The 13,837-nt window shown below is 47.1% G+C and overlaps 1 long non-coding RNA gene across 1 annotated transcript, besides 3 other annotated features; it reads right to left on the reverse strand.

Moving 5' to 3' along the window:
* Positions 435 to 1,634: an enhancer, noted in NCBI's record as "CDK7 strongly-dependent group 2 enhancer chr2:105362448-105363647 (GRCh37/hg19 assembly coordinates)". NCBI's record gives its function as "activates an origin of replication core promoter dependent on BRD2, BRD4, P300/CBP, MED14 and CDK7 cofactors, with strong dependence on CDK7, by STARR-seq in HCT116 cells {active_cell/tissue: HCT116}" and the evidence as "EXISTENCE:reporter gene assay evidence [ECO:0000049][PMID:35650434]".
* Positions 435 to 2,021: a biological region, named in NCBI's record as "CDK7 strongly-dependent group 2 enhancer GRCh37_chr2:105362448-105363647".
* LINC01114 (long intergenic non-protein coding RNA 1114) lies at positions 1,082 to 12,164 on the reverse strand. The gene is made up of 4 exons (NR_038231.1): positions 10,526 to 12,164; positions 8,771 to 8,885; positions 3,767 to 3,934; positions 1,082 to 1,596 (listed from the first exon to the last, which is right to left on the reverse strand). It is a non-coding gene; the product is annotated as a long intergenic non-protein coding RNA 1114 (long non-coding RNA).
* Positions 1,502 to 2,021: an enhancer, noted in NCBI's record as "H3K4me1 hESC enhancer chr2:105363515-105364034 (GRCh37/hg19 assembly coordinates)". NCBI's record gives its function as "activates a minimal SCP1, AML or CMV promoter by ChIP-STARR-seq in naive H9 embryonic stem cells {active_cell/tissue: H9 hESC(naive)}" and the evidence as "EXISTENCE:reporter gene assay evidence [ECO:0000049][PMID:30033119]".
* Positions 12,165 to 13,837: the final 1,673 nt, after the last annotated feature.

Consider the following 13,837-nt stretch of genomic DNA (forward strand, 5'->3'; position numbering starts at 1 on the left):
TGTTATAATCTCACTCCCATTTAACTGCTCTTCAAAATGAAGATTGAATGTCAGTTCTACTATTGTCCATCTTGCCTGGATATTGTAACAGTTTTCACATACCTATTTTAAAACAAGTGGGGCTTGGGGGAGCTGAAACGGAGCTTCCCAATTTTGCCCAGAGCTGGCCTAAGGAACACCTTATTCAGCAGTGGGAACACATACAAATAAAATACTATTTTTAAAGGGCTCTGGCCTCCCTTCATCCAAAAGAACTTCATCTCCTAACACGAACTTGGCATTCTCTGTTACTCACCCAATGTAAATTGGTTTTCCTTCTGGGTAAGCATTGATTTGCAGAGATCACCAGGTGCAGGGCAGCTCCTGATCCCAGGCTGCCTTGGCAGTGGCCGCCCTGCACGTTCAGACCGCTCCTCTGCCTCTGCGGACTGGGAGAGACTGCCTGCTGGCTCTCCGGACCATGCTACCGACCCAGGCCGGAGAAGGAGAAAGGAAGGCGGGAGAAGTGATCCCAGCCAGGTGGTGCTCGGCACTGCCACATGCCATCGTCCTCCTGACCGATGGGAGGTCACCTGGTAAGGGACGGGGCCCCCACCCCTCGGCTGTGACTGCTGCTGTCCAGCATGCTTGGGATTCCAACTCATCTATTATTTAGTTGGAAGGGATGTTTTTAACACCTTGTGTGTTTAGGCTGTTTTATTCTTTCACCAGCCTTCACAGGTATGAATCTACGTAATCTTCATAACAACTTTTAGAAACTAGGTATGGAAGATACTGTTCTCAGTATTTCAAATGGAGGAAATCAAGGCTCTGAGAGTCGCCTCCTATAACTTCTGTAGGTGGAGCCCTGCTACCTCTTGCCTGGCCTGAGGACAGCGGCGAAGCTACGACAAGTGCATGGATAGCAGCTGGGAGGGGAGGCTGGCAAGAGGCTCTCGGTTTCCCCCTGCATGCTGCCTTCCCTGGCCCCGCCTCTGCTTGGAGTCCCCAGCAGGCAGTGTCAGCCCCACACAAGACAGAGATCTGGGGCCTCACACCTCACCTTGCCCGCCCCTCCAAGGGCCCAGCAATTACTCGAGAATCTGACTTTGGTGATTTAATTGCTTTTCCCTTAAATATGAGAAATAGGTGTAATTTCTCCTTTTGTTCTTTTACTACAACCGGAGTGGTAAATACTACCTACTGCCAACAAACACGGGCATCCACTCTGTCTTCAATGCCTCTTCCGTGAGACATTTGAACTGAAATAAGAGTTGTATCATCTAGAATGAATAACCAAGGGGGCCAAGAAAGGCCTAGACTGAAGAAATAAGTCAACATGTGCGTTCTCCGGCACAGGCCCCTCCATGGAGCCGGCAGTCGGCTATGCAGCCAGGGGACGCAGATCCACAGCTCTCGGGCTGATTCAGGACTGTGCAAGCACCGCAGAAGCCAGGGAGCTGGTGTCCTGGGCATCCTGGCAGTTCTTTTCACGTTGGCGCAAATGAGCAATGCGCACGAAGCTGCTCCATCTCCTCTGCTGCGATTTCGCTGCCGAAGAGCCGAGGAAGGTTAGGATGCAATTAACAGAGCGGAGTGACCTGCGACGGGGTTAACCTGCGGAACAGAGGCAGCCATAAATCAGCATCCCGGCCTCACGGACGCGCCAGCAGAAGGAAGTCACGCAAGGGGCTTTAAGTCAGCCAAATTGATAGCACCAACAGATCTAGATGGTGTTTTCTTTTCTAGAACCTAGAATAGGTCTTTAGAGACAGATGGACGCTTGGTTTCCGAAAACTGTAAAACAAGGATGCAAGATGCAATATGCACAGAGAATTAATGTCAGTTGTGTTTATGGCTTTTTTTTCTTGCCAAAAAAGAGTGAGATTCCTTATTGTCATGTGGTGAAAGATGTGCTCTGTTTTCTTTAAAATCTAATCATACTTTTGGTAACAAAATGGAAAAATATGAACATTCCTTTTTTTTGAGAATTGATAAAAGCTTATCTATGAACTGACATTAAATAACCATGATGTCAAAAAAACAAGACCATTTTTTGAGTGCTTATTATGTGCCAGGTGTTAACCTACCTTAGCCCTTTTATTTTTTCACGCTTCTCAGAGGTAGGTTTAGTGGGGACCATTTTGCAGGTGATGAAAGTGAGGCCCACACAAATGAAGTACATTTTCTAAAGTCATACCTCTAATTAGTGTAAGAAATAGAATTCCAAAGTTCAAAAGATACAAACTGACAAGTTACTATTTACATTGCAATTTTCATACCACTTCACATCAGTATTGGTAAGAATTTTACACAGGGTAAAGGTGTCATGGTATAAACTACCTAACTGGTTTTTTAGTTGTTTGTTTGTTTTGTGACAGAGCCTCACTCTGTCGCCCAGGCTGGAGTGCAGTGGCACAATCTCAGTTCACTGCAACCTCTGTTTCCTGTGTTCAAGCGATTCTCCTGCCTCAGCCTCCTGAATAGCTGGGAATACAGGTGCCCGCCACCATGCTCAGCTAATTTTTGTACTTTTAGTAGAGATGGGGTTTTGTCACGTTGGCCAGTCTGGTCTTGAACTCCTAGGCTCAAGTGATTCGCCCACCTCGGCCTCCCAAAGTGCTGGGATTACAGGCATGAGCCACCATGCCCGGCCATCCTAACTGTTCTTGAGGACTGATCCTGTGCGGGTTATCTGACTTGCATTGTTTGAGAGAGTCATTGAATCCTCACGGTCAGAACTCAGTGTGTATTGTTCTTGCTACTCCTTCATGAATCCATCTTAACACCCGTGCCGCCTCTATATTTCCATACCCATTGTAGAGGTAAAGAAAGTAAGGCTCAGAGTATGCAATTTTCCCACTATCTCACACAGCAAAGAAGTGCCAGAGCCAGGGACACACTGAAATGCTCTCGAATTCTAACGCCCACATCTCTCCCACTTCTTCACACAGATTCCATCAATAATTAAAGACAGAAGAGAGCCTGTGGCTGTGCCTTCCAGACTCCTTTATTTACTTATTTTAAAATAGAGTTAAGCCGGTCAGTAGCATGCACCTGTAGTCCCAGCTACTCAGGAGGTTGAGACAGCAGGATCGTGTGAACCTAGGAGTTCAAGGCTGTAGTGAGCTATGATCAAATCACTGCACTCTAGCCTGGGAAACAGAGTGAGACCCTGTCTTAAAAATAATAATAATAATAACAACAATAATAATAATAGAGTTGACCAAAGTCAGAAGTAGGTAAGGAAGGAATCAGGCAGGTAGACTCCGGTCTTGTGAATGCCCGGTGGCTGAATGTCCAGAAGTTTCTGCCACAAAGAAGGGAGGCCAATACCTTGGGTGTTGAGGCTGCAAAAGGAATACCATAGCATTTCATGCAGAAAACTACACATGGATTCAGGGAAAGAAGATTTGGATAAAAAAGGATTGGACCTTTGACGTGAAATATGAGCTCCGAAAGGCTCACAAGTGGCCAGGGTTACTAAATAATTAATCAAGAGCAGGTGGGTGGCAGTTTGAAATGTAAATGGGATGGAGGAAGGTGTGATGCTGTCATTCAGGAGAGGCTGATGTGGCTGGAGCTCTGAGCCACTGTACCAGCTCCCGGGAAGGCATGGGCGCAAAGGAGCAGCGAGGCCGTCCGACAAAGGGCCCCAGAATCCCTAATTCTTGCCTTTGACCTGCGGTTCACTTTCATGTCCCTGTCCCTAAAGAGATGTTAAAAAATGATGAAGAACTGGCTAGGCATGAGGGGGGGGAAGTGAAGCCAACTAAAGAAATGTTACCTGTGTCAGGCAGCAGCAGACACACTTGAGAACACCTTCAATTTTCCTTACATTTTCCTGCTTCTTGAAAGAAAAATGCATCTTTTGTCTGTCCTCTCCCCCTTTCTTCCCAAATTCTCTAGAGTTCTTCCTGCAAGTGGTTCTGTGTGACTCAAAGGCAGACAACAGCTGCAAGCAAAGGAACAAAAAAGAAGACTGACAATAGGAAAAGGGGCAGGTGAGAGAGACTGCCTTTACCTTATCAAACCAGAAAATGCCGTGGCTTAAATAGCAAGAAAATAAAGTCTGCAGAAGATGAAATGTCTCTTTTCTGACTAAACAGTGATCAAAAATCTCTGTTCTAGAAAAATATGACTGCTTGGCATTCAAATCACAGTGTCTTAGATCCGGAAGTAACGCTCATGCCTAGCATAGCCTGGTACTTACTTAGTGGGTGCTAGATGTATATTCATTCTTTTTTTGTGTCCCTTTTCTTGTCTATTACACCTTCCTGCACAGGCCAGCCAGCCTCCCCTTAAATTGGCTAGTCTCTCCAAGCTTCAGTGTAAGCTCTGGAAAGCAGAGACAACTCTGGTGCCCACCTGGTAGGGCTGTGCATGTCAAGGGCTGAGCCCATGCCTGGCACGGGCATGAGCTGGTGTAGTGATTGTTGTGTTTGTTATTCCAGACTTAGGAAGCAAGATGTGCACCACTTGGTTTTGTGGGGAAACTGCCAACACTTCTGGGCAGCAAAAGCACAGGGTTCCAGGCAGGGGTGGCAGGAGAGGCAGCTAGTGAGGAGGGTGGGCCAGGGCGTCTGCTGTGTGAGGAGGGACTTGCTGAGGCCTGTGGAGGTTGAAGGGGGGAGGCAAGGGTGGCACAGCTCCCACTGGAGAGCAGGCTCAGGAGGTCCTCACTAGGTACCCTGAGGATAGGCGTGGAGGGAGGGAGTGGAGAATGTAAAGGACCCTGAGGAGTGGGGCCATTTGTGCTCCCCAACACCACCTCACTGCCTAGGCCAGGGGCAAGGGGGCTGGGAGGGGTAGGGGCCACACTGCCAGCTCCTTCAGAGGCTAAGTCTGTGGAGGAGGTTTTTAGCAGCCCGGAGGTAGAACCGGCGTTTTCTGCTTCTTCTCCCTCCTGACAGCTGCTCCCCACCTCCTGCCCCTTTCCTTCCTCTCCATTCCTCTCTCTCCCCGTCTCCCTTTCTCCTCTCCCTTGCTTTAGCTTTCTTACCTTCCCTTGCAGAACAAAATCAGAAACGAGTCCCTCCCCTAGAAGTCTCCACCCACCATATGGGCATTTCCATTCATTTTTCTGACATTTCTGCATTTTGCAGGAGGTTGTGACCATGCAGGCCAGGACCAGGGGCAGGAGCAAGGGCAGCTGAAAGGAGGCAAGGGCAGCTCTGCGTGGTTCTAGGGGGTTCTGCTCCCATCCCACCTCCCTGTCTTCACCCTGCTGCACCCACGCCCGTTACTTCAGATATTGGCCAAATGGAAATCTGTTGACTTGCACAGCTCTGGCTCCTTTCTGAATAGGATCTCATAAAAACACACAAAAGTAATCCGTAATGGAAATAAAAATAGAATAGAGCCAAGTGCTGCAGCTTTTCCTCTTATGTAGTACAAATTGCTATGATGCACACATTGTTTCAAATTTAAAATCCTGGTTCTTAATGCCTTTCCATTCAGGGAGACAATATCACTTAACTCTTAAGTTCACGGACACTTCCTTTCCAAGAATTTATTACATGTGGTGTGTATTTCTTTAGGAAGTTTATCTGCTTCATAATTTTAAGAGTCTATAGGCCAGGACTTCTAAAACTCGGCAATTTAACTATTTCTGCTATAAAATATACATACAGAAATTGTATCAGCTAGAAAAATATTAATTTTGAGAAATCAAAAGCTAAGTTAGATTTGATTTGGGGAATATTTTCCAAACAAAAGAAAATAATCCTAAAGTCAAAACTCTGAGCTTTTTATTATATTGCAAGGAAAGCATATAGAGGAATTGGGTTGTTTAGTGTGTGTGTGTGTGTGTGTGTGTGTGTGTGTGTGTCTTCTCAAAGAACTGTAGATTTACACACAGAGCATTGTAACCAACTTCATCCCCATCTAGTATGCAGTGAGAAGCTTGCAGCTTAACCTTGAGTGAGGAGGATTTAAGTTCAATATCAAAAAAAGAGTTCCTGGCAATAAGGGTTGTAAGGACATTTGTAGAGGTTGCCTAGAGGGACTGGCCCACCCTTCCCTGGAGAGCTGTGCCACTTGTGTAGATTCAGTCTGAGATGACAGCCAGGAGAAAATTTCCCAGGTTATCTTATCCCAAAAACCCTCCCCAGGACCGCCTGGACTTACACGTGGGTTAAAGGGTAGATTGAGTGTACCAAGGCCAAAGGCCAGCCCAGACACTTGCCAGCATGGGATCTTGAGCAAGTCATATGCTCAGAATCAATTTTTCAGCTACAGGAGAAACATGGTAAGAACCGTACATCCCTCCTAGGTTTGTGGTGAGGCTAAAGAGGGTGGAAAAGTGCCTAATAGTGTGGAGCCTCCTACAAGTGTTGGTCACTACTAGGTGCTGCATGAAATTCACAGATGGAAGGTCATGATCCCTTTTTAATCCAAAGGGATTAAAAACCTGCAGAAGTCCAAGAGGAGCAGATCACAAGGTCAGGAGTTCGAGACCAGCCTGGCCAATATGGTGAAACACCATCTCTACCAAAAATACAAAAATTAGCCGGACATGTTGGCGGAAGCCTGTAGTCCCAGCTACTCAGGAGACGGAGGCAGGAGAATAGCTTGAATGAGGCAGAGGTTGCAGTGAGCTGAGATGTTCCATTCCATTCCAGCCTGGGCAACAGAGTGAGACTCCATCTCAAAAACAAAAATGAAAAACCTGCAGAGGTACTAATAAAGTTTGCAAGTCCTTGGTCTAAGTTGCAATTTTTTTCTCCACACCTGAGAAATCTGTTAAGTTGTACAAATAAATAATTCAAAGGCCAAAGTACCACATATCTCATCTTAGGTGATCAACAAGTTCACGCCAAGCCCCAACAGCCCAGCGCTAAGGAAGGCCACAGTGTCCATGTGAGCAGTGACTCCCAGCTAAACTTAGACTCAGTATCTGTCCATACAGAGGATCAAACATCCCAGAGTTCCACCTCGAGGAACTTCCCTGATTGACCCCATGAGTGGACTCCTCGGTAACATTCCCGCTGTGAGAAAGCCTGCCAGACCTATCAGGGTCTTCATGCCAGAAAGGATGCAGCTCCAGGAAGCCCTGGCTCTCGTGGCCAACTCTGAGGTGGCAACCCCTCAAAATCTGACCAGAGAAAAGGCCAGTGCAGCAGTGCAGGCCTCATGAGCAAGCACCACCACCGACTTGCCTTAGGAATGCACTTCCTCTTTCCCCTCAACCTCCCTATCGTTAACTGACTGAAAGCCACACTCACAACGAGAACAATATCTGGGTATCTCTGGTCATCATTTCGCTTTCCTCTGAAGCTGGAATAATTATCCTACAGGTATCAGCTGTGGCAGAAGGTGGCCGGAGTTTGTGCTACAAGAATATTCCCAGGGGTTGCAGTGAACCGAGATCACATCACTGCACTCCAGCCTGGGAGACAGAGCAAGACTCCATCTCAAAAAAATTAAAAATAATAAAAAAAAGAAAGACAAATATCACATGTTCTCATTCATATGTGGGAGCTATAAAGGTGACTTCATGGAGGTAGAGGATAGATGATGGTTACCAGAGGCTGTGGCTGGGAAGGGTAGAGGGGAAGGAGGGATTAAAAATGGGTTGATTAAGGGGTACAAAAACACAATTAGATAGAAGAAATTAGATCTGGTGTTCCATAGCACAATAGGGTGGCTATAGTTAACAATAATTTATTGCATATTTCGAAATAACTAGAAGAGTAGAATTGAATGTTCCTAACACAAGGAAATGATAAATGTTTAAGGTGATAGATATCCCAATTACTATGATTTGATAGTAATTGTATGCTTGTATCAAAATATCACATGTACCCCATAAATATGTACAACTATGATGTATTCATAAAAATTAAATTAAAAAAAAAAGAATATGTCCAGGGATATAACCTCAGAGGTAAGGTAGTATCTGGATGAGAACTTACTGGGCACAATAAGTGCCGCACCCATCTTGAGGATGGAACCGAGGACAAAGCTGGTCTATCTTGTCCCCACTCACCATCCCTTCCCTGTTGCTGGTGTCTTTCTACAACATAAGTCTCAGGCCCCTGAAATGGCAAGAAACCTCCAATTTACAGGAGCCACAGGACCCACCTCCAACACCTGGTAGGATGAGCCCCCGCAATTCCCAGCCCATAGACACAGGGAGGCCTCATCTTCTGGAATCCAAGTACAGTACAACCTACCATCTTCCACCAGAGCCATCTCAGGTGTCTCACTCTCATCACTAAGAATTTAAAATATGATGTCTTTTTTGCATAAAGTAAAATTCAGGAAAAATAAAAATGTTTATGGTCTACATATTTTTAGGAGTTACATGTGAAATATACATATACAGAATGTCTTCAGTACCCAGGAAGGAAGGGTAGCAAAATGCTTTCTTGGTGGCATTGCCTCCTCCAACTACTCACAAAATAGTGAAAAATGAACACCCTGCTAGATCCTTTCCTGAGGATATGTGTGGAAAGGATAGAGGACTATGTCTGTCTCTCAACCTCAATCCAGGACACCAACTGCATGCACATGGCCTCAGATGCCATCTCTCTGGGCCAGCCTCTGTCCGTCCTGGGCTGGTAGATGGTTCCTCAGCCCCAGCCTGGCAGGGTCAGCTCCAGCTGGAGAGACAACTACTGCTCAAACTTAAATGAGGGAGGTTATGTTCAAAGCACTCCACCACCTGAACTGAGGTTTTTGCTCCTGAAATTACTAGATTGATGTTTGCATTCCTAAAGCTTGATGACTGCATATTGCTTATCACTGTTATAGAGAAAAGATATTCCTGACACATGCCGTAACCTACCTGAATGTGAGACATTTCCATTTAGAAAGAGCCCGTGAACTCAGCCCTGGCCCTCTCTCTACCTGGTACCTCTTCCTTGAGCTTCCCCAAAACTCACACTCCTTTGCCAAAGTGCCTAAAAAGAGTAGAAAATGAAATGATTAAAACTGAAGAACTCAGGAGGAGGGCATGGGCCACAATATAACATGTTCTGTACTCAGAATCCAAATATCAGAGTTCAAAAACCACACTCACCCATGACCAGCTGTGCGACCAGGAACCAGCCTTTTTACCTGAGTCCCAATTTTCCATGCTTATAGCACAGAGGTTCCCAAATTCTCTCTGCCTTCCACGGATCTAGAGGTAAGGCTTAGATAAGATAAAGCACTTGACAGTCCCCAGACCAGGTCCTGCCCCCGCACAAAGTGCTCAGTGCAGGTTGATTGTAAAGTACTGAGGGAGCATCTGGTAAAATCACACCACTGATGACAGCAATCAGGGGTTTAACGCTGCTAAAAAGTCTGCACCAACCTGTAAAAGAGATGGCAAGATCCTCGCTCTTCTCTGAAGCCACACCCTTTGCCTGTGCCTGGAGCTTGCTCTCTGCGGGAGAACCTGGAGCTGATCTCCAGAATACAGCTTCTCTCGGCCTTTTAAACCAGGGCCCAGAGAGGCACTACCAGAATACCAGATTACCGGGGAGGCAGGGCAGCCGAGGCTCCAAAATGGAGGAGGAGCCCCTTGCTCACAAACCAGGACCTGCTGCCTGCCTAGAAGGGCTCTAGCAAGAGACGAAACCCCTTAAGCCACAGTCGGGGAAAAGGATCAGACAGTGAGCTCCTCTCCGGCCCAAAGCGCAGTGAGGACAGGGACAACACATGGATAGGAGTGCTCTCCTGTGACCAGGACAGAGCTTGGCACTAGGAGGTGCTCACCAAGTACTGAAGAATGCCTGAATGCCCTAGGCAGAGGAGGTGTCGCATATGCCAGCCCCAGGGCACTGATGGGAGAGCCACAGAAAGCCCCAGGATGCAACTGTCCCACAGCAGTGGGGCTAGAAGTAGAGGGAGGAGGGCCTCCAGGGGAGAGAAGTCGCCAGAGAGCCTCTGTTTGCTTCCTGCCACTGCCCACAGCCAGCCCTGCAGCAGCGTTTTTGGCTCCCTTCCTCAGCCACATTGCGGAACAGGCAGGCCCGGCTGTGGCACAGTCTGAAATGCCCAGGCACAGCACGACTGCTAAATTCTCGCACTCCCTGGACTCAGCTCAGCCCCACACCGCTCATTCTTACTCTCCAGTTCTGGGGACAGATTTTACAGCCCGTTCGCGTCTTCCCAAGCCTCGCTCAGATCTGGGCACGTGGCACAGGAAAAAGCGCCGCTGAGCGGATCTAAAGAACAGCGGGTGTCGGGGAGCCGGAAAGCAGGAATCATCTCAGCAATCCGTCTCTGGATTGGGAGGAAGAACATGTTCCTAAACACATTTGCTCACTGCTAGGGAGGCGGCGCCTCTTCTGAGGGAAGCCACTCCCTCTTCCCACAGCCTGCTCCTGGCTTTATTGCTCCTCTCAGTCACTGTCACTGCCGTCACCTCCTCATCAAAATCTACCCCCTTCTCCCTCTCTTGTTCTCTCCCCTCAGCCCTGCCTATCTTATTAACACTTTCCAAACACGTCTCTAATCCACTCCTCTCCCTCTCCCCAGCTCCAGGACACCCTCACAGCTGCGTCTGTGGACTGCTTCAGTATCCTCCCTGCTGACCCTGTGGCCCACAGCTCACCAGCTTCTGTCCTTCCTTCTAATCCGTACACCAAGATGTCCCAAAATGTTCTTTGTGAAGAGTAAATCTAACAGTGCCTTCCGACGGCTGAAGACCATTTGTGACTCTCCACGGCCTGTTCTCAGCCCAGGCTTCTGTTCCCCTAGCAACACCAAACTATCACCTTCTGAGCACTCAACAAAAACCCTGCTAAGTGCTTTCATGAAACTTCCCATCGAATCCTCACAACGTCACTGGAAAGAGGCATTGCCGTCTGCATTTTACTTGTGAGGAAGCTGAGACTGGAAGGGCTCCATCATTTGTAGACAGCAAGGCAGTAGTCCAGCTGGGATCCTCAGCCAGGCAGGCCCAGGCCTACAGGCACTGGCCCACCCCACCTCCGGTTGCTCCCAGGGCCACTTAGAAGTTTCAAGTCCTCCCCAGCTTCCCAAGGCCAACTGCAAGGAGTTTCTCAATCCCTTCCAGGTGTCCCCATCACTAAAGGATGTGTCCGTCTGCAGCTTAGTTGTACGTCTGTTTTTCTCCCCAGGCTGGATGCCTTGAAGATAAGAATCATCTTGAGTCCCTAATGCTTAGCACAGAGCTGTACTCAGGAGGGTTAATTGAATTAATTAATGGTCAGCAAAATGAATGAGTGGATGAATGAATATCACACATTCAAGTGATCACATTTCCTGTCTCTTCCACAATAAGGCTCAATTGATTGGTTTGGCTATGTTAGGAATGTTGGACATAGGTATACTGGTTACAGAATAGTATCAGAGCAAGGTTAAATTTTCCACATTTAAGGGTGGAATCACCCTCACAATAAACGTGTTGTTTTTGTCAGCATTGTCGCTGTTGTTGTTTACTATGGAATGTCACCATGCTTGAATCTTAAGCAGACGGGCTTGGGCTCCATTCATAATTTTCCTGCTTTAGAAAAAGTTATGATCACAGAAGGGGACCTTAGCGCTTGCCAACTGCCAGAGCCCAACAGCAGCCTTGGTCTCAGCACAGGTGGATGTGATTTTCTTTACCGGTGATCTGTCCACGAGCTGTGCAGTTTGTCCCACTGATGATGTGGGTGAAGGATGAAGCCAGGGCTCACCCTTCTAAGGGGGACATTGAGATTCCTGGGCATTGTACCAATTCAGCCATATGTCACCCCAGAAAGTAACTGCTTTTTCCATATATGATCATAACTAATGTTGCAAAGCCTGTTTTGCCTGGATCCTTTTACAGAACCTATGCAAAATATGCTGTGCGCTTTCACTCCAGATTTCTTTCTTAGGATGAATGGCTCTGCACATACACGGGAACAAGATCTTATTCTTTTCATCAGGAATGATCATTATTCCATAGGCTAATTCCCTGCGCATTAGTTATATGGGGTGAAGTTCTGGCTCATATGCAGGAGCTGATGGAAACAGAGTCCTAGTGGCCAAATACATCCTAATGTTCTCCTTTCAATTCTTTCATTTTTGCTGTCTTTACCTTTTAGAAAATGTTAATGTATTCCTGATGAATTCAGTGTGAAAAAAAATATGTTTATCAGCTTGGGTTTAAAATTTTTATTCATAATAAGAATATAGTAGCACTGCCAAGACCCTCCAAAGCCAATCCTGAGATCTTCGCCAGCTCTTTGGGGGCATCGTAAACAAGCTGACCATGCAGAAGAGTTACAAGAAAGGAGTTCCCATGCCAAAACAATAGCAAGTGTATTTTCATTAGGTATTGATGCTTTGTTCTTGCCACGAGTAGGGTTGAAGGAAGTGTGTTCTGGTAGCAAAAACCCTGCAAGTTGTCATTTGGTAACTGCATAAGTTGTGCCTTTAGCCAGGGCCAAATGGATGATAAACTTGCCACTGTTAACAGTCTCTAGTTATTTGGAGCAATCCACACTTTTTCTTGCAAAATCACACACTCAATTTCTTGACTGCGTTTCCTCATCTATAAAATGGGAGAGAGGGAAGATAAGCTCTGTGGCCCTTTTGCACTCTGCAATCTCTAAGTGCCTTTGCATTTCCATCCAGCCCCGCCCCACCCCACCCCACCCCACCCCACCCCACCCAGGGGATGGATGTCCACAGTCCCCCACCCCAGCCCTGCCAGCATTGCAAAGCCTGCTGAGGATTTGCACAAGTAAACCCACCTCAGCAGCTTCACTGCTCCCCTTAGTAAATAACTGCATACAGAAACCCTGCAGATTCTCAGGCTGCAGCCAGCGCCACAGCTGGGTTCTTTAGTTTGTTGTGAAAAGAATTCCAGCATGACACAGCTCCTCTCAGCACAAAGACATGCTGAAGCACTAGGAAAAAAAATTTTTTAAAGAATGCTTCTGAAAGCCAGGCAGCCAGGAGAGAGGTGTAGGCTCGGGCCAGCCTCCTCCCTGCCGGGGCCTGGACCTGTTGCCTGGGCTCTTCTCCTCTCAACAGTAAACAGAGCGGTTCACGAATCACCAAGGCTCAGAACGGCGGGTCTGGCCACAGGGGTGCCTCAGACGCCTCCCGGGCATCTGCAGCAAACAGTGCCACCTGCACTGTGGTCAGATCAGGGACAACCGGTCCCCCCTGTTGTTTGATTTCTAAACCTGCCTCCACCTCCCCAAGGCCTCTGAGAGCTGAGGGCTTGCAAATCAACACAACATTTAATTAACTGCACATTAAAGTTTCCATCTTTCAAAGAAGGGAATTAGGGACAGTGCACTTTCTGAAGCACTCATTAATGAAAAAATAAATTCTAAAGCCTCCTGAGTTTGGGGTGGTCCTTACCATTCTAGGTGGCTTCCTGCTTTAATGCTCAGGGCTGGGCAAGTTCCCTCAGATGAGCTGCAATCTTCAGGCGTTTTTAACCCTCTGACAGCCAGCCTTGGTTTTGCCCCACACCACGCACCCTGAATAATCCTTAAGAGTTTTCAAGAAATATCCAGAAATGTTTCCAATTATATTGAATTATGAATGCTTTTTTATTAAAAGATATACAGTTGTTACTTTTAAGAGAGGCATGAATAATATAATTAAACAACTGTCTATACTACCTATGGAATGGTTGTAAGCTGCTATTACCCTTGAGAATGACGGAGGCGCATGTACTGCTGGCATGGAGGGACATGGCCATCAGCTTGACAGTGGGGAGTGATAGAGATGGGAAGGAGAGCAAGTGAAAGACAGACCCGGGCCAGGTGTGGTGGCTCATGCCTGTAATCCCAGCATTTTGGGAGGCTGAGGTAGGTGGATCACTTGAAGGCAGGAGTTCGAGACCAGCCTGGCCAACATGGTGAAACCCCATCTCTACTAAAAATACAAAACTTAGCTGGGTATGGTGGCACAT

This window comes from Homo sapiens, chromosome 2, assembly GCF_000001405.40.
Source record: "Homo sapiens chromosome 2, GRCh38.p14 Primary Assembly".
Classification (NCBI taxonomy): domain Eukaryota; kingdom Metazoa; phylum Chordata; class Mammalia; order Primates; family Hominidae; genus Homo; species Homo sapiens.